The 19,761-nt window shown below is 51.2% G+C and overlaps 2 annotated features.

Moving 5' to 3' along the window:
* Positions 344–638: an enhancer, noted in NCBI's record as "tiled region #4070; HepG2 Activating DNase unmatched - State 4:PromP, and K562 Activating DNase matched - State 4:PromP". NCBI's record gives its function as "activates a minimal TATA promoter and a strong SV40 promoter by Sharpr-MPRA in HepG2 and K562 cells {active_cell/tissue: HepG2 | K562}" and the evidence as "EXISTENCE:reporter gene assay evidence [ECO:0000049][PMID:27701403]".
* Positions 7,740–7,899: a silencer, noted in NCBI's record as "silent region_7463". NCBI's record gives its function as "represses an Ori minimal core promoter by ATAC-STARR-seq in GM12878 lymphoblastoid cells {active_cell/tissue: GM12878}" and the evidence as "EXISTENCE:reporter gene assay evidence [ECO:0000049][PMID:35858748]".

Here is a 19,761-nt window from a genome sequence, read left to right as displayed (position 1 = left end):
CTTCCTTTCTTTATCCTCAGCTACTTTTTCTCCTTCTCTCCATTTATGCCCAAGCTTTTCCCTCTGTGGAAGGGACATTATTTTTGGCCACCGTGCTCATCCAGATTGCAGGCAGTAGAGCTAGTCCAGTAAGCACCTCCCCCTGAGTCCACTGCCATTCAGATAAAGTAAGGTTACCCAGGTGTGGAGTTAGTGGGTTATTTTTAGCACCAGTCAATATAGCTGCTTTCACTGTGAACCCCGATTTTGCCAGAGGGTGTGGAGGCACAACACGCCCCCTCAGGCCCTTAGGAATTCCAACAAAGTTTAAAAACAGTTACAGTTTATTGCCTAGGAATCATCCCGGCGTCCAGTACTTGGAGTTTCAGCCCTGGTCCTGACCACTGCATCAGGTAAGAAAAAGGGGACAAAAGAAAGTTGACCGGATATGGAGAAGGCAAAAAAAAAGGACAGGCATTTCACCAACCAGCGTCCTCCTCCTCTGGCAACAATTGCATCATCACACCAGAGTGATATAATCAGATATGAGCAGGAACCTATGGTGCAAAGGTCCCTCTGGCTGTTTTGTGGCCAATCCACAGGAGAGGAACAAGACAAAGGGTCACCTAGGAGGCAAATTGCAGTTAGTGTGAGAGCAATGCCGGGTTTGGGGGTCGGGGGGGGGGGCACTGGGGTGGTGGCCACAAGCTGGAGGGGACTAGGACAACTTTGGGAGGAGGGGTCGCTGACAGCCAGTGGGAAGCCCGGTCCTGCTAGGATGAACTCAGGCCTGGCTTTGTTCGTGGCTTCAGGATTTGCATCCTGGAAGGTTTTAATATTGGCACTGTGGCTGGTGGGGTCCTGGGACTGGGGTCGGTGCACATTCCAGGGCCGGCCAAACTCAGCCACGTGTGAGGCCAAGAAAAAAAATGAATGCTGAAGAGCCCTGAATCCCTGAGTGTGTTTATGGAATCTTTTCATGTCATTGTTTCTTTCTAGGCAGAATTTCTGAGGAGGAGGTTTAAGAAAGCTTTCCTGAGCTGGGTGTGGTGGCTCATGCCTGTAATCCCGGCACCCTGGGGGCTGAGACAGGAGATAGCTTGAGGCCGGGAGTTTGGGAACAGTCCGGGCAACATAGCCAGACCTCATCTCTGAAAAATAAAAATAAAAAAATTAGCTGGTTGTGGTGGCATATACCTGTAATCTCAGCTACTTGGGAGGCTGGGGTGGGAGCATCGCTTGACCCCAGGAGTTTGAGGCTACAACAAGCCATGAAGGCACCACTGCATTCCAGCCTGGGCCACAGAGTGAAACCCAGACTCTTAAAAAAACAAAAAGCCTTCCTGAGGAGCGTGAGCTGGAGGCAGCTTCCCAACCCGGTGAAGCATGTTCATGGTCCATCTGGGCAGGAGGAAGGATGATTGGCGAGCTGTCCAGATGGTATTTGGGGCCCAGGTGCCCTCTGAGGGCTCTGGACACAACGCCCTCATCCACACAGGGCCTGGGGAGACTGTCCCCAAAGTACTGGGGCACAGAGCCCCAATGATGGCCTGAGTGTGTAAAAGCTGGAAAAGGGGGCTCTGCCCTGCAGCTTCCATCCTCATAGAGGTAACCTTGACCCAGTTCCAGAGCCCAAGCCTGCCCTGGCCCTCTTCCCACTGAACAGGGCTCAGGGGCGCTGATGGCCAGGCATTCAGGGTAGGGGGCGTCTGGGCAGCCACCATCTCTCCTCCAGCCTGTTCTGTTTCCAGCCCTGCCATGGTAACAGGCAACCCCCTCTCCCACTGTTAGGGGCCGAACTGTGTCGCCCTAAATTTCATGTGTTGAAGCCCTAACCCCCAGCACCTCAGAATGTATTTGGTGGCAGGGCCTTTAAAGAGGTCGTGAAGTTAAAAAGGGGTCATTAGGTTTGGTCCTCATTCAGTATGTCTACCAGTCTTATAAAAAGAGATGAGGGCACACAGGTGGGGCACAGTGGCTCACGCCTGTAATCCCAGCACTTTAGGGGGCCAAGGCAGGCAGATCCTCCTGCAGTAAGGAATTAAAGACCAGCCTAGCCAACATGGCAAAACCCCATCTCTACCAAAAAGTACAAAAATTAGCCGGGCGTGGTGATGCATGCCTGTACTCCCAGCTACTCGTGAGGCTGAGGTGGGAGAATGGCTTGATCCCTGGAGGTGGAGGTTGCAGTGAGCCAAGATTGCACCCCTGCACTCCAGCCTGGGTGACAGAGCAAGACCCTGTCTCAAAAGAGAGAGAGAGAGAGAAAAAAAAGAGATGAGGACATAGACTCGTGCTCAGGGAAGACCACGCAGGCTGGGGAGAGGACAGCCTCTACAAGCCAAGAAGAGAGCTCCCGCAAGAAACCACCCTGCTGACAGTATCTTGCCCATGGACTTACGGCCTCCAAAATCGTGAGAAAGTAAATTTCTCATGCCGAAGCTGTGCAGTCTGCAGTACTTTGTTATGGCAGCCCTAGAAACAAATGCAGCCACCCTCACAGCAATAACACCAGCCAAGACACACTGCAGGCTAACCAGGTGCCAGCCGTAGTGACAAGCCTGATCCACGTGTCACCATTCATGATCCTCACTAACCCTAGGGATCAGGGACCTTGTGGCCAACCTGGCTCTGCCACCTGCCAGCTGTGTGGCCTGGTGAAATTACTTTGCCTCTTTGGGCCTTCGTTCCTTCATCTGTTCTCCAGGGCGGGAGTAGTACCATACCCCAGGGTGGTTTTAAGGAATGATTTAGGCTTAAAAAGGATTTAGAGAAGTTCCTGGAACATGGTTGGTGCTCACTAAGTGTTGGCTTTTATTTTTCTTATTTCACAGATGTAGAAATGGAGGTTCTGAGAAGTTAAGTAACTTGCTCAAGGTCACACAGCTAGCAAGCAGTGGGGCCACATTCGAGCCCAAACAAGGCTGACTGCAAATGAACTCAACTATGCTGCCCCACTGCCTCCTGCTCTGCTTCCCAGGCACATAGCGGCCACCTCTGTGACTTAGCCTGCCATACTCCTGGACTGCAGCTGGCCACGACGCGGTCAAGATCTGTTTGGGGTCTGCCTCCTCTGCTGCCTCGAGCCTCTCCTTGGGACCGGAGCAGCCCCAGCTCTGAACACAGGGCTCTGGATGTTTGTTTGGGAACCACGTTCAAGTTGCACTCGGCCTGAGGTTATCTCCAGGCCTTACCCTCTCCATTCATTTCTGCCTCGAATACTCCCTGCAGCCATGAGCATTGGGCAGAGCAGGGGATGTGAGGTTCAGAGAGATAAGTCACTTGCCCAAGGATACACAGGGCAGAATAGGGAGGAAACCCCTGCCCTTCCGACAACCTCAGGTCTGGTCCTCTGGCTCCCCACACCAAGGAGCTCCAGGAGGGAGATGGGACTTGCCTGGGGCTGTGGGAGGGGACCATGACCCTGCGTGGTGTGTCTGCGGGGTATAGGCCTGTGCTGGCCTCCACAAATGCTGCCGCAGCACCACACCTGCTGCAGTAACAGCCACGTACATCGGAAAACCGCTCCATGAGCCGAGTCCCAGATGACAAGGAGGGCTGTGAGGGACATCTTGGGAGACCTGTGGCCCTCTCTGGAAAGATCTATGTCCAGCCAGGGGTGGTAGCTCATGCCCTGTAATCGCACCACTTTGGGAGGTCAAGGCAGGGGGATCGCTTGAGCTCAGAAGTTTGAGACTAGCCTGGGCAATACAGCAACACCCTGTCTCTACAAAAAACTTAAAAAATTAGCCAGTGTGGTGGCGTGTGCCTGTAGTCCCAGCTACCTGGGAGGCTGAGGTGGGAGGATTGTTTGAGCCCAGGAGATTGAGACTACAGTGAGCTATGATGGCGCCACTGCCTTCTAGCCTGGGCAACAGAACGAGACCCTGTCTCAACAGCAACAACAACAACAACAACAACTTATGTCCAGAAACGAATGTCCTTGCTCCATATCCTCTCCACCTGGTAAGCGGTGTCTAGCCCACACTTCCTGCATCCTCTGCATGCCATAATGAGAAGGTGGGTGGTTTATGGCAGAGGCGAGAAAATCCAGCAGATCCCGTCAGCTTGGAGGGCCCACTGTCAGCCCCTCTACCTGCTAAGGCCGGAGGGGTGGGTCCATGGTTCTTTAGACCACAGACTAAAACAGCAAAACATGCTGGGTGGCTCCAGGTGTACCCCTTACCGCCTCACTCACTTTGGCCATGGGCATCTGAGCTGTTGTTTGTTTGTTTGTTTGTTTGTTTTAAAGAGCCAGGGACCAAGAAAGGGTTAAGCAGCTCCCAATCTGACTTATGAGACTAGAAGCTCTTGCTCCCAGCTGGCCACCCACAGGCCTCTGTCATCTGGCCAGTGCTGGGCTGGGAGGTCTCTGGGTCTCCGCACCCATCTGGCCACACTGTCCTAGCACCATCGTCTCTCATCTGGCAGCTGGGACGGCCTCTCACTGGTCTTGCCCTATCTCTGCAGCCTACAGGAGCTCTCTGTCCTCAGTTGCTGCTTACCCCCTAAAATCCTTTTAAGTGGTTTTGTACTGCTCCCATTAATAGGATGAACCAAAGCTTCTTAACTGGCCCCGTGGTCTGCCCGATCTGACCCCCTTCCTGCCCACCCAGGCCACGCTGTTTCTCCTCAAATGTGCCAGTCTCTGTGGGCCCTGCAGGCCTTGGCGCATCCTCTCGGCTTGAAATACTTTCCTATCTCCCTGCCCATTCACCCTCCCCAGCCTGTGGCTGTAGACCAACAGATCTTGGTCCTCTTTTTCATTGGGCCCGCTTGGAAACTGGTTGTCCCCCAATGTCTGGGGCAGGCAATAGCAGTCAATCACAGGTGGCATGTGAAATGAAACACATCTGCCACTCATGCACAAGTTCAGATCCCAAGGTCCCTCTCAGCTCTCCCCTTCTGCTTTCTAAGACTGTTCCATCCTCAATTTGCCCTTCTGTAGAACGGGGAGAAAGAGATCCCTGCCTCCTCTGTCATCCCAAGGGGCTGAGAGTGTGAATCAAGGTGGCTGTTTTCACCTGGGTATCTGTTTCCTTGGTGTCTGTCCTGCCTCTTGCCCCAGAATATCCCCTTCTACCCGTGGACTTCCACTCTGACCCCTGATAGCTCCCAATAGCTAGCACAGTGCACCCAACTGCAGGTATTAGGATGTTTAAAGTGTCCATGTAGATGTGGCCTCATGTGCTGCACCCTCTTGGCTCTGAGTTACATGTCCTGCTGCAAGTTTCTGAAGCAGGAAACGGTATGTGGCAGTGGAGGCCATTGGGCTTGCTGGGCGTGGGGCTTTCCTAGGTGACATACAGAGGCACCACTCCTGCTTGTCTCGGGAAGGGGGTGTTCTTTACAGGGGGGTTCATCTCAGAATGATTCAGTGGCAGTTGGTAGTTGCATGGGTCAAAAATGAGCACAGGACCCAGAGTTGGGAAACCTGGGTATTTCCGAGTTCCAGTTCTGTACCTGGAATCCGACCTGGGAGTATCTGGACACACCTTGCCCCTCTCTGCCCTGAGTGTCCCTGTCTACACAGCGAAAGGGAACATAAGTCAGTAATCAGTGTCTTCTGGTTCTCCAACTGTTGGAGAAAAAATCAGAAATCCAGATTTCGGTGTGAAATTTCCAGACTTTTGGAAACAACAGGTGCTGGGGAGGATGTGGAGAAATAGGAACACTTTTACACTGTTGGTGGGACTGTAAACTAGTTCAAACACTGTGGCAGAGAGTGTGGTGATTCCTCAAGGATCTAGAGCTAGAAATACCATTTGACCCAGCCATCCCATTACTGGGTATATACCCAAAGGATGACAAATCATGCTGCTATAAAGACACATGCACACGTATGTTTATTGTGGCACTATTCACAATAGCAAAGACTTGGAACCAACCCAAATGTCCATCAATGATAGACTGGATTAAGAAAATGTGGCACATATACACCATGGAATACTATGCAGCCATAAAAAAGGATGAGTTCATGTCCTTTGCAGGGACATGGATGAAGCTGGAAGCCATCATTCTGAGCAAATTATCGCAAGGACAGAAAACCAAACACCGCATGTTCTCACTCATAGGTGGGAATTGAACAATGAGAACACCTGGACACAGGGTGGGGAACACCATCCACTGGGGCCTGTCGTGGGTTGGGGGAGGGGGGAGGGATAGCATTAGGAGATATACCTAATGTAAATGACTAGCTAATGGGTGCAGCACACCAACATGGCACATGTATACATATGTAATAAACCTGCACGTACCCCAGAACTTAGAGAATAAAAAAAAAAAAGAAATTTCCTGACTTTTACCTGCTAGTAATGAATTCACAATTTTATGAACTACTCTGGGGATTTAAGGATATGTGCCAGTAAGCCAGGCTGGGCCCAGGGACCACCGCTTGCTAACTCCAGACTGGAACATTTCTGCCTGACATTCAGTACTGTGGTTCTCACCAGGGGTACACATTGTAATTACCTGGGGATTAGGGGAAAAAAAAAAGCTAACTCTCCACTTCCCCCCAGAATGCTGACTTACTGGCCAGGGGTGGAGCATCTTGAGGAACTTGAGGCGCAGCTGAAGGGCTGAATCCTGGGCTGGCTGGGTGGCTGGGTGGCTGGGGTAGGTTCCGTCACTGAGCCTTGTCTTAGCTATCTGAGCAGTGGGGCAGTGGGCATATAGGCAGCATTCTCTTAGGTAAAGGGCTTGGCACATTAAAAAGGTGCCCAGTGAAGTGAGGATGGAAAAGCAATTGGAAGCTGCTTTTGACTTAGATGCTTGAACCTGGCTTTGGAAAACAAACCCTTTGGCTTTCAGGACTGAGACAGTGGAAAGTTTCCCCAGGTTGGGGGCTGGAGCATGTGAGTCTGGGCGCCACCTCTGCCTCTGGCCAGCTGTGAGGTTTAATGTTCTCTGCTCTGAGTCTCAGCATCACCTGCTTTCTTGAACATCATATTGGCTGGGCCTGTCTTCACTGTGAATGCCCAATATTCACCCCAATTTATTTGAGGGGAGGCACTGACTCAAGGCGAAGCTTCTACCTGTGTTTCCCTGGGAAACCCCCAGGCAGCCTGAGAGAGTAGGTATAATTGGCCCATTTGACAGATGGTGCTCCCTCAGGGAGACACAGTCTGAGAGGAGCCCAGCTCATTTTGGAACCCAGGACCTAGGTGTATCTGACTCCCAAGATTAGAGCAGGGGATGCCTTCAGGGGCTGGGTGAGCGACTGAAAGAAGGGCTGGGTTTACAGCGGGGTGTTTGGGGAGTGATGTGGTGACCTAAAGAGCCCAGGCTCCAGCTACAAAGACTGGGACTCATGTTAAAAAACAAAAAACAAAACAGGCCAGGTGCGGTGGCTCATGCCTGTAATCCCAACACTTTGGGAGGCCGAGGTGGGAGGATCGCTTGAGCTCAGGAGTTCAAGACCAGCCTGGGCAACATAGGGAGACCCTGCCTGTAAAACAAACAAACAAACAAAAAACCCAAAAAACAAAACACAAACAAACAAACAAACAAACAAAAAAACGCCGGGCGTGATGGCGTGCGCCTGTAATCCCAGCTACTCAGGAGGCTGAGGTGGGAGGATGGCTTGAGGCAGGGAAGTCAAGGCTGCAGTCAGCTGTGTTTGTGCCACTGCACTGCAGCCTGGGCGGCAGAGTGAGACCCTGTCTCCAAAAAGAAAAAACAAAGTTCTACACAAGTATGCTGGCCAGTGAGAACCCTGGGGCCCCCGGTTTGCGAGCCCCTACTGGGCCTGCGCAGTTTGCGGGGCTTTGGGTTCTCGGATCCCGGCTGGAGAGGATCTCCAAGGCCTGCGGGGCCCATGCCCAGGCCTGGCGGCAGGGGGCGCCCGAGCTCCCGCGCTGACCGCTGGTCCTCCCGGCCCTCTCAGACGCCTCCCGGGGCGGGTCTCCAGCTGCTTGCCCTGGGAACAACCCTAGCCAGCCGTTCCCGCCCCTCGCCCGCCACGCCGCACCCTGACCCTTAAGCGGCCCCCGCCCAGCTCCCTCCTGTGTCCCTGCCCCCTCCCGCCCCCTGGGCTGGCCCCTCGACCCTCTGATCTCACTCCTGCCTCCCGCCGCTCGGTCCTCCCCTACTCGGCCAGCTGGGCGGCTCCTCAGTTGGGGACCGGGGCCTCGGAGCCCCCGGCCTCGGGCCTGCGCCCTGTTCTTCCAGCTTGGGGGCTCCCTCTTCTCTCGCCCTCCTCCCCTCTCCTTCCTCCCACCCCCGCTGCGACGGCTTCCTTCTCCTCCCACCCCCCGTGGCTCTGGAATTCCTGGGGGAGCCTACTCCCCCAGCCCGGGCTGCACCCGAGCGTGCAACAAGTCCCGCCGAGCGTGCGAGCACGCAGATGAACACGCGGTTCGCGGGCAGCCGCGGCTGCGTGGACCCAGCTGGATGTTTCAGCGTGCACAAGTGCGTGTTTCTGCATCCAACTCTGCTTAGACACTGGTGTGTAATTTTTTGTGCACACACATTCAGTGACTCTTGGGGAAAGTTTTCTGAAAATCCCGGGCTGGCATTAAATATAAAAAGGCTTTGTTTAATGCCAGAGGCATTTTCCCCCGTGTTCTGGAAGTCGAGAAGCGTTCACCTGCTTCCCCCTTCCCCTCTTAAAGACCCGGAGGCCTTGCTAGCATTGGGAGAGAGGGGAGAATAGAGGGAGGTACACCAAAGAAGTGGTTCTTTTAGAGTCCACCTCCCCGTGCCTGTACCACAGCCCTACCCACAAAAGGCTTTCTCAGGCCCTGGAAACCTCCCTAGTCTTTGTCTCTTTCCTGGGCTGTTTAGCTTTGAATCTTCTTCCTCAAATATCTGGGTGTGTTACAATGATGCCGACATCATTCTGGTTTTGGAATTCAAGTTGTAGCTTAGCCAGCATGTGGAAGGCTGTGGAGCAGGGTGTTTGGAGGGCACTGTAGGGAAGGTGGGCAAGGCAAGGAAACTGAGAGCAGGGGGGCAGAGTGGCCCAGGGAAGGGGTGTCCTCTCCTTGAGCTGACCACTGTGAAGTGGGTCATATGTCTTATAAGGCTGTTTGCGTCTATTTCTTTTATTGTACATTTAGTGCCTCGGAGTATCTGGGCATAATAGATATTAAACAAAGACAGCTGGACTGGGCGTGGTGGCTCACGCCTGTAATCTCAGCACTTTGGGAGCCCGAGGTGGGCAAATCACGAGGTCAGTTCGAGAGTAGCCTGGCCAACATAGTGAAACCCTGTTTCTACTAAAAATACAAAAATTAGCCGGGCGTGGTGGTACGTGCCTGTAGTCCCAGCTACTCTGGAGACTGAGGGAGGAGAATCACTTGAACCTGGGAGGCGGAGGTTGTGGTGAGCCAAGATCGCGCCACTGCGCTCCAGCCTGGGCAACAGAGCAAGACTCCATCTCAAAAAAAAAAAAAAAAAAAAAAACCAAAGAAACAAAGACAGCTGTTTATGATTTTGTTGGATTTTTTTGGAGGCAAAGGTATAGAATAGTGTATAAAACCATACACTTTGGATCTGGATGCAAATCCTGGCCCCACAATTTTCTAATAATATAACTTTATGTCAATTTCTGTGTGCCTCTTGCCTTCTCTGTAAAGTGGGGCCAGCAATGATTGCACGCCTCCCAGGGTTTGTGTAAGGATTGAATGAGTCAATTTACATAAGCACTGGAACAGTACCTGGCACATATAAGTGCTGTGTAAGTTTCAGTTTTTATTATCCCTCTAGAACAGAGGTTGGCACCACCTGTTTTTATACAGCCCTCCCTTGAGCTAAGAGTGCTTTACAAATTTTTAATGGTTGGGGAAGAGAAAAAGAAACACTCATATTTCAGGACACATGAACATTACACAGAATTCAAATTTCAGTGTCCATAAATAAAGTTTTATTGGAACACAGCCACACCCATGCATGGGTGTTTTCACACTACAAAGGCAGTTAAGTCAGTTCAACAGAGACCTTATGGCCTGAAAAGCCAAAAATGTTTACTCTCTGGCCTTTAGAGAAAAAATTTGTCAAGCCCTGCTGGACAAGGTCAGCTGCAAGAGTGCAGAGATTTTTGCCTGTTGGATCATTAATGTATCCCTAGTGCCTGGAACTCTGCCTGGAACATAATAGATGCCCAATAAGTATTTGTTGCATGAATGAGTTTGGTCCCAGGCAGTTGTGAGGCAGAGGCTCCAATGTTCCTGAGCTTGGCATGGGGGTCTGTAGTGATTCAAGCAGATGCTCGTTCGGAGATCAGAAGAAGGAATTTGCCCACCCCCGACCCCTCAGTCTCCTTAAGCGGGGACCAAAAATCAGACTGGCCACAGGGAAGCTGCTCCTGCTGAGTTTGGCCTTGCTTTAGGTGAGGCACTCACATGGTCCAAACCAGATCCTTTCTATCCAGCCAAATCACACCCTAGGGAGGGGCAACTTGGTGTCATCACTTGGAGGGGGGGTCTTCATTCCTTCCCTCCCCCTCTGGCAGACTCACAGCAGGCAGTGAAGTGGCTGGAAGGATTTTGAGAATGGCTTCCTTGGGGCCAGTCGCAGTGGCTCACACCCACAATCACAGCACTTTGGGAGGCCAAGGTGGGCAGATCACTTGAGGTCAGGAGCTCAAGACCAGCCTGGCCAACATGGCAAAACTCTGTCTCTACTAAAAATACAAAAATTAGCTGGGCATGATGGCACACACCTGTAATCCCAGCTACTTGGGAGGCTGAGGCAGGAGAATCGCTTGAACCCAGGAGGTGGAGGGTGCAGTGAATTGAGTGAGATGGTGCCACTGCATTCCAGCCTGGCCGACAGAGTGAGACTCAAAAAAAAAAAAAAAAAAAAAAAAGAGAGAGAGAGGGAATGGATTCCCTGACCTTCTGGGGAGAGGGTGCTCCATGGCCAAGGGGTTGTTGGCTTTGGATCTTCCTGTCCTGGGGGAAAGAAGAGAGAGGAGGCAGAGGAGCCCCAGGCTCACTGGGGGCACTTGCCATGATGAGATTCCACTCGGCTTTGCCAAGGAGCTCTTCAAAGGTCCTAGCAAGGGGTGACCATGGGCTGGGAGAAATAACACATAACCCTCAGTGTAAGAATGTGCTCAGATCCCCCAGCAGCCTGCCCTGGTGACTGGGCCTGCTGGGGCATCCCAGGGCTGCCAGAGGCTCCTTTCTTCATTCAGTGCTTCCTGAAATCCTGTGTGCAAGGTGCTGAGCTTGGTGCTGGTGCTAGTGCAGGAGGAATAAGATACAGCCCCTGCCGGGTGGAGCTCACAGCCTTCTGGAACATAAATAACTCTGATCCACTGAGGTAAGTGCATAGTCAGAGTGCTCTTCTGGATTGACCACATCCTAAAACGAGCTAAGGATACAACCATGTGTTTTGCAGAAGAGGAAACTCAAATAGCCAAAAATGCATGAAAAGAAACTCAATATGACTCTTGGTCCAGAAAAATGCAAATTAGAGCCACATAAAATGCCACTAGTATGCCATGAGATCAGCAAAAATAAAATGGGTGATAGTCCTGGGGGAATCTGGGGGAGAAGGCACTGTCATATATAGTTGGTGCAAATAGGAATTGTTATGGCTTTGAGGGGAAAAGAAACTTGGCAGTATATATTAATTCAGGTTGAGTAGCCCTTGTCTGAAATGCTTGGAACCAAAAATGTTTCAGATTTCTTTTTTTTTTTTTTCCAGATTTTGGAATATCTGCATTATATTTACCAGTTAAACATCTCTAACTCAAAAATCTGAAATCTGAAATGCCTCAGTGAGCATTTTCTTTGAGAATCATGTCAGCACTCAAAAAGTTTTGGATTGGCTGGGTGCGGTGGCTCACGCCTGTAATCCCAACACTTTGGGAGTCCAAGGCAGGTGGATCATGAGGTCAGCAGATCGAGACCATCCTGGCGAACACGGTGAAACCCCGTCTCTACTAAAAGTACAAAAAAATTAGCCGGGCGTGGTGGCAGGCCCTGTAGTCCCAGCTACTCGGGAGGCTGAGGCAGGAGAATGGCGTAAACCCGGGGGGCGAAGCTTGCAGTGAGTGGAGATAGCGCCGCTGCACTCCAGTCTGGGTGACAGAGCGAGACTCTGTCTCAAAAAAAAAAAAAAAAAAAGGTTTTGGATTTTGAAGCATTTTGGACTTTGGATTTTCAGATTAGGTATATTCAACCTGTATAAACAAAACCATACAAACCAAAAAACATACCCTTTTTCCGGCAGTCGCACTCTTGAGATTCCATCCTGAGACTTAAGGGTAAATATACCAGGATACTTATTAAAGTGTGTGTGTGTGTGTGTGTGTGTGTGTTTGAGACAGGGTCTTACTCTGTTACCCAGGCTGGAGTGGAGTGAAATGCCTGAAGCCTCGAACTGGGCTCAAGCCACCCTGTGGCCCTAGCCTCCTGAGTAAGTGGAACTACAAGCACATGCCAGCATGTCCCACTGATTTTTAAACTTTTTGTAGAGATGGGGTCTTGCTGTGTTGCTCAGGCTGATCTTGAACTCCTATGCTCAAGCTATCCTCTGATCTCAACCTCCCAAAATGCTGGGATTACAGATGTGAGCCACAATGCCCAGCCCTTAAAGTGTTTTTATGAAGGAACAAAAGCATGGAAACATTTATACCCAAGATGAAAAGTTTAATTGTGATACATTTACATGTGCAGTATTATGTGGCCATGAAAAAATGATGAGTTAGCACTATTTCTTTCTTTCTTTCTTTTTTTGAGATGGAGTCTTTCTCTGTCACCCAGGCTGGAGTGTAGTGGTGCAATCTCAGCTCACTGCAACCTCCGCCTCTCGGGTTCAAGTGATTCTCCTGCCTCAGCCTCCCAAGTAGCTGGGAGGACAGGCGCCCACCACCACGCCCGGCTAATTTTTGTGGTTTTAGTAGAGACAGGGTTTTACCATATTGGCCAGGCTCGTCTCAAACTCCTGACCTCATGATCCGCCTGCCTTGGCCTCCCAAAGTACCGGGATTACAGGCATGAGCCACCGCGCCCGCCCTAGTTAGCACTATTCCAAGTGCCTGGAAGGGCTTCTAGGATGTGTAGTTAAGTCCAGTGAGGAGAGCCAGAGGTGGGCAAGTGACCAGCCTCTTCAGTGTGAAGCACCTTATCACGCTAGTACCAGCCCAGCCCCTTCCCATACAGGTACTTCTGTTTGTGTATGACCTGTGAGCATGGAAACCAGGCTGCTGGCCTTGGAAGTGAGGAGTGGGAAAAGGCTAGATAAGTAAGGGGGAAAACAGCTTGGTCTACAACCCAAATGGAAAAGTATCTACTGCATAATGTTAACTGAAAACATGTAACCTAATGTCTTATACAAGATACTATTGTAAATGTGCAAAAGCAAATTTGCATATAAACAATGAGAAGCTAGTGACAGGGACCAAGGATAACATTGTTTTTATCTTGGGTGAGCTGGTCAGAGCTTGAGAACAACTGTCTGCTCCCTCCACCTCCACATTTTCTGCTTCTGGGAGGGTAAAATTGTGTTCTTTCCAATAAAAAATTGTTTCAGTGCCTTTGCTGTTCTAGGTTTGCTCTAGGTACAGAGGACAGAGCCGTGAATAAGATTCAAGAAGTCCCTGTCCTCATGGAGCTTATAATCTAATGGCCAGGCTTATAACCAGCCTGGCCAACATGGTGAAACCCCGACTCTACAAAAAATACAAAAATTAGCCGGGCATAGTGGCACATGCCTGTAATCCCAGCTACTCGGGAGGCTGAGGCAGGAGAATCACTTGAACCTGGGAGGCAGAGGTTGCAATGAGCTGAGATCACGCCATTGCTCTCCAGCCTGGGTGACAGAGCGAGACTCCATCTCAAAGAAAAAAACAAAAAACAGTTGAAGAAAGAGGCTCACTCTTTCTTTTCTTTTTTGAGGCAGGGAATTGCTCTGTCACCCAGGCTGGAGTGCAGTGGCTAAATCGTAGCTTACTGCAGCCTCAACCTCCTGGGCTCAAGCCATCCTCCTACCTCAGCCTTTTGAGTAGCTGGGACTACAGACACACACCACCATGCCCGGCCAATTTTTATTTTTATTTTTTGTAGAGATGGGGTCTCTTTATGTTGTCCAGGCTGGTCTCAAACTCCTAGGCTCAAGCAGTCATTCCACTTTGGCCTCCCAGAGTGCTGGGATTACAGGCATGAGCCACCACATCTGGCCGACTCTTTCTCATTGACCTTGAAACTGTCAGGACAGCTGGACCCTGGCAGCCATGCTGTCACTGTGTGGAGTCTGAGAATGAAGCCACTATGCAGGAGAGCCAGGCTGAATGATGGAGAGATGGTGTCCTTTGTGATATGATTTGAATATCTGGATCCTCTCAAGCCTGAATCTGGAACCACACAGTTTTTGTTTAAGCCAGATTTTTTTAAAAAAATCATTTGCAACAGAAAAATTCCTAAATTGTTATTCTTAGTATTATTCTTGTTGCTATCATCTCACTGCTTTGACCCTGTGGCTTCTCTGAAAGTTCAAGTGAGTCCAGGGACCTGCCCAGGAGAGGGTTCTGCATTTCTGGTTCCAGATTCCCAAACCTTGAGGCTAGCTGGACAGATATATTCATACAAGAATGACCCCCAAAAAGTGTGCGTGTGCGGGGAGTGTCCAAAGAAAGAGACGGAGGGTCTTATGCTTGAGAGTCACCATCTACCTCCTGATCCAGGTGGACATCCCATGGTGGCAGGCGGCCCCTTCCTCATGTCTAGGGATACAAACCTGCCTGACATGTTGCCTGTCTGTCGTTCCTGAGGGTGCCTGTGAACACCCCCCTCCCAATTTCCAGATGCTCTGCTGGGTATCCCTGCTCAGCATCTCTGCAGGGGCCAACAGAGCCCTGAAGCCCCATGAAGCAGGCAGGGCAGCTGACCCCCAGGGCCCTGCAGCCTTCTTCCCTGGAAGCCAGGCATAGCCTGGCTCCTTCCCTCTTGCCAGGAGTTTCATCTTCCAGGGCCCCTCCCTCAACAGGTGCCGCCTTCCTTTCTGCATCTACTCTTCCAAGGGAAGCAAGGGGGAAACAGGGAAGCAGGGGTGGAGAAGAGAAAGAAAGGGCGGAATCTTTGGCCCCAGACAAGTCGTTTTCCAGCCTCAGGTTGCACCCCTGTAAATCAGGACCCTTGCTATCTCTGCTGTCTGTTCATAGGGCCTTTCTCCTAAGGGTGGTATGTTCAAGATCTGATATTTCAGTCAAGGCCCCTGCAGCTTTGATGAATACCTAACACTGGAGGCTTTCCCAGCCCTGCTGGTTACCCCTGCAGGCCCCTGACCCCCTGCTGGTTACCCCTGCAGGCCCCTGACCCCTGTAGCAGCATTCTTAAATGGGCTTAGGTCTAGTTGGAGGGGTACAGGGAACCTAGGTGATTTGACTTGAAGCTACATTTGAGTAAGATTGAGAAAACATCAGTTGTCCATATCAACTAACCCACCCCACTCCACCACCCCACTCCCCAACAAATGTAACATTTTCATATCTATTAGGTGCACATAAGTATCAGCTATTATTATTTTCTGCATGTTCAAAATCTTTCCTAATTAACCATGAACACAAAAGAATTTGGGGGTTGATGGAGATTTAGAGGAAGGACATGCTGTGCCCCCAACCTGACACCTGATATAATCGTCTGTGGTTCCCAGATGCCATCTTTATCTATCTGTTTATATGTCTATCTAAACGTCCATCCATCTAAAATCAATATGTCAACTATGCTTCAGGCAAGTTACAGAAACTGAAATTAACTGGCTGGGCAGGCGAACACCTCCAGCTTTGGAGGAAGATTTGCCTTGATTTCCATCCCAGCTCTATTCCTTAAGGGCTGTGTGACCTTGGACCAGTGACATGGCCTCTCTGAGACTCGATTTTCTCACGAAAAATGGAGATAATGACTGCATCATGGGTGTGAACTTAAACGGTACAGGAAGACCACTCTGCAGGATATTGGGCTGGGCCTTGGAAGTGGGGCGCTGGGAGAAAAGCGTGGAAAGGAGGGGGCTGTCCTTAGCCCAGGGGATCTGGGTCCTCTTCCTCCCACCTCCTGCTTCAGACAAGGTTTCTGTGAGGTCCATGGGGTTCCCAGGGCAGAAGATCAGGAGAGTTTGTTTTCGGGCTTGCTGGCTTTTTGAGAGCGGGTTGGCGCCCCACGGGAGGCAGTGTCCCTGTGGGCCACTGCGGGAGCTTGGGCCGCGCTGCTCACGGGCCACTGCGGGAGCTTGGGCCGCGCTGCTCACGGGGCTTGGCGAGAGTGCAAGAGCCAAGAGCAGCGAGGGGCACCTGGCTGCGGCCCGCCGGCGGCCCCGCACCCCTAGCTCGCAGACCATGCCCAGGGCCGCTCCGCTTCTAGCGCTGGGAGGTGGTGCAAAGTTGGAGAGCCTCTTGGGGTGGGAATGGGCGGCGGGGGAATGGAACACCGCAAGAGCGCCAGAATAAGGGCTCCCTCTTCTTCACACACCACCCCTGCCTCCCTGGCACCGTGGCAGGCAACGAGAATGAGCCAGACTCACCAGGCTGGGGAGGTCGCAAACTGTGGGCCTGGGGCTTAGTCCCACTTAGAAACATGGTTACAGTCTGTAAGGGGCACTGCAGGGTGGCTTCCCCCGTCTTTGCAGGGAACACACTCCCTTTGACTCCACGCAGATCCCAGCCTGCTTGCCTTCTCCTGCCTGGTCAGTTAGGATCTGGGGACAGCTGGGGACAGCTGAGTTTGTGGTCCCTGCTAACCTCCCACTAGGAGAATGGAAGATTAGCGTGTGCTACGTGCCGGCTCTGGGCTAACAAGCCAGCGTGTCAGTTAGTGTGACCCCCCACTCCCCCCGCCATGACCAGGCAGTTCCATCAGACCAGGGGCTTTTCTGCCTTGCCCAGCTGGTGCCCACCACTGGCCCAGTGGCTGTCACAGCAGGGCCCCCACCGGAGGTTGCAAACATGGGTTAGGTGAAGAAAGCATTTGTGATAGTAAGATGTCACTTTCTTCAGCACTATTCTAAGTGTTTTATCTATAGGCTCCTTTAATCCTTACAGCAGCTCTACCTGGTAGATATGAGTATACCCCCATTTTCACAGATGAGGAAACTGAGGCACAGATAAATGAAATTACTTGCTGGGAGGCAGAGGAGCTGAGTTCAAAGCGGGCTGTCTGCATTCAGATCACCAGATGTCGGTCTCACCCAGGACTAAAAGCAATGACACCCTGACACCTACCCCCCACCAACATCTAGCAACTTCAGGATGTTCAGTTCCCTCACCTGCCTTCCCTCCCCCAACATTTCTTTGTTATCTGGTTTTGGAATTGAGAGTACTGGCTCCAAGGCCAGCTCTGCCATTAGCTGGCAATGTGACCTTGGGCAAATCTGTTCCTTGCTAGACATCAGTTTCTCCATCTTTCTAATCCAAGGCTAGATCATCTCATAAGGCCCTTCCAGGTCCTTTAGACCCAGAATCCTGTTGCTTTTGTAAGGGGGACCTAATTGTTCATTTTCTGCCCTTGACAAACAGGCCCTCCAGAAGTCCTTGGCTTGGCCAAATGGTGGCTCTGCTCCCAGGGGCAGGAGAAGGTTTGGAGTGCAGGCAGAAACTTCCTGAATCTTCCCCTTACTCCTGCTATGGTCTTGGCTCTGGGCAGGGGCTCCAGGGCCTCTCCCAGTGGGTGCCGGAGGCCAGAGCCGCCTTTGTCTGCTGCAGGAGGCCAGGCAGGCGGCTGCGGCTGCAACCGGCCCCTGCCCAGGCCTGGGAGATGTTTTTTTTTTTTTTTTTTTTTTTTTTTCCCTGTGTGTTGCAGCTGGGACCGTTTATAATAGGAAAAAAAGAGAATGACCAGGCCAGCCGGCTGGAAAATAAAGAGACTTAAAAAGAAAAGGGCTAGGCCTGTTCTTCTCCTGTGGAGGCTTTGGTTAAGCAGAAAGTTTTAGTTCCTTTCTGAAAGGCATTTGGGCTTTTGAAGTCCCCTGCGGGAGCTCCCTCTGGCCCCTGGGAAGCCAGGCCCTGGCATGTCCCAAAGCGCATGGCCAGGATGGGGCTGGGCCGCTCAGCGGAGGCAGCGGCAGCCCCGGGAATTACTGCACCGGGCTGTGTCCACTGAGGTCTGAGTCCTGCCCCATCTGCTCCCATCCCAGTGGGGCCCAAGCCCCATAACCTCCCTTTGGTGGCCTTTTCCCTGAATTTCCTCTGCTCCTCAGGCTTTGAACTGTGGCCTGGTGCTGGTTGGGCCAGAGGGTAGGAATAAGCCCAGATGTGCTTCTTCCTTCAGACAGAGAACCAGGGGGATTTCACAAATGGGGAGACTGAGGCACTGAGAGGGTTTGCCCAAGGCCACCCAGGGAACCTAAACTTTTTTATTTTTTAAAAGACAAGGTCTTGCTTTGTCACCCAGCAATCATATCACGCTGCAGCCTTGAACTCCTGGGTTCAAGCCATCCTTCCACCCAGGTTCTCAGTAGCTGGAACCACAGGCACACACCACCACACCTGGCTAATTTGGTTTTTATTTTTTATTTATTTATTCATTTATTTTTGAGACAGAGTCTCACTCTGTCACCCAGGCTGGAGTGTAGTAGTATGATCTCAGCTCACTGCAACCTCTGCCTCCCGAGTACCTGGGATTACAGGTATCTACCACCATGTCCGGCTAATTTTTGTATTTTTAGTAGAGATGGGTTTCACCATGTTGGCCAGGCTGGTCTCAAACTCCTGACCTCAAAAGATCCACCTGCCTTGGCCTCCCAAAGTGCTGGGATTACAAGTGTGAGCCACCACACCTGGCCATTTTTATTTTTCTAGAGATGGGGGTCTCTCTATGTTGCCCAGGCTGCTCTTGAATGCCTGGGATCAAGCAGTCAACCTCACAAAGTGCTGAGATTATGGGTGTGAACCACGGCCAGGAACCTAAACTGATTGAGTGGCTGTTGTGTGTGCTCTGCCTACAAACATTAACAATAGCTAATGTGAATTAAGCCCTCACAATATGAAGGCCCTAGGGAAGGAATCCAGGGAACGGAGGAACAAATAAAACTAGGTGCTTGTGTTCTGGGGCTCTCAGGAAGCTGCTTACCTGCTCTCTTCTCTAGCCTTAGTTCAGGTCCTTGCAAAAGAGCTTACTTCCTTGTCAGCACCCCCTCAGCAGAGTCTCAGCCATACCCATTACTGAAAAGGAACCACAATCAAAACTTTATAATGAACATTGATCAAGCACCTACTATGTGCAAAGTGCTGCGTGCTAGGTGTGTTACAGCATGAGCTGATTCCATGCCCCTTTCATATCATGGAGGCAGGTCACTATGGTGACATTGTCTTATGGATTACAACCACCCTGTGCCAGGGACACTATCCTCTCATTTTATAGGTAAGGTTGTCTTGCCCAAGGTAAGGCTGGGATTTCAATTCACCAGCTCTTTCCCCTGTGTGTCTAGAGCCCACTGCTGACCTCTGGACAGTGTCCTGCCAGCTTTTCCAGTCACCAGCACTCACTGGGCAGGCAGTGGGCACCCTTGTGTGAAAGGGGTATAGAGCAAAATTGAGGGCTCTGCCCTGAAAGAGTGTTTGACCTAGTTGGGTGGGCAAGCTTTCTTTCTTTTGTTTTCTTTCTTTTTTTTTTTTTTGAGACAGTCTTTCTCTGTCACGCAGGCTAGAGTATAGTGGCACGATCTCAGCTCACTGCAACCTCCACCTCCGGGTTCAAGTGATTCTCCTGCCTCAGCCTCCTGAATAGCTGGGATTACAGGTGCACACCATCACGCCCAGATAATTTTTGTATTTTCGGTAGGGATGGGGTTTCACCATGTTGGCCAGGCTGGTCTCGAACTCCTGACCTCAAGTGATCTGCC

This window comes from Homo sapiens, chromosome 16 (assembly GCF_000001405.40).
Source record: "Homo sapiens chromosome 16, GRCh38.p14 Primary Assembly".
Classification (NCBI taxonomy): Eukaryota; Metazoa; Chordata; class Mammalia; order Primates; family Hominidae; genus Homo; species Homo sapiens.
This window is presented reverse-complemented; position numbering and strand designations above follow the sequence as displayed.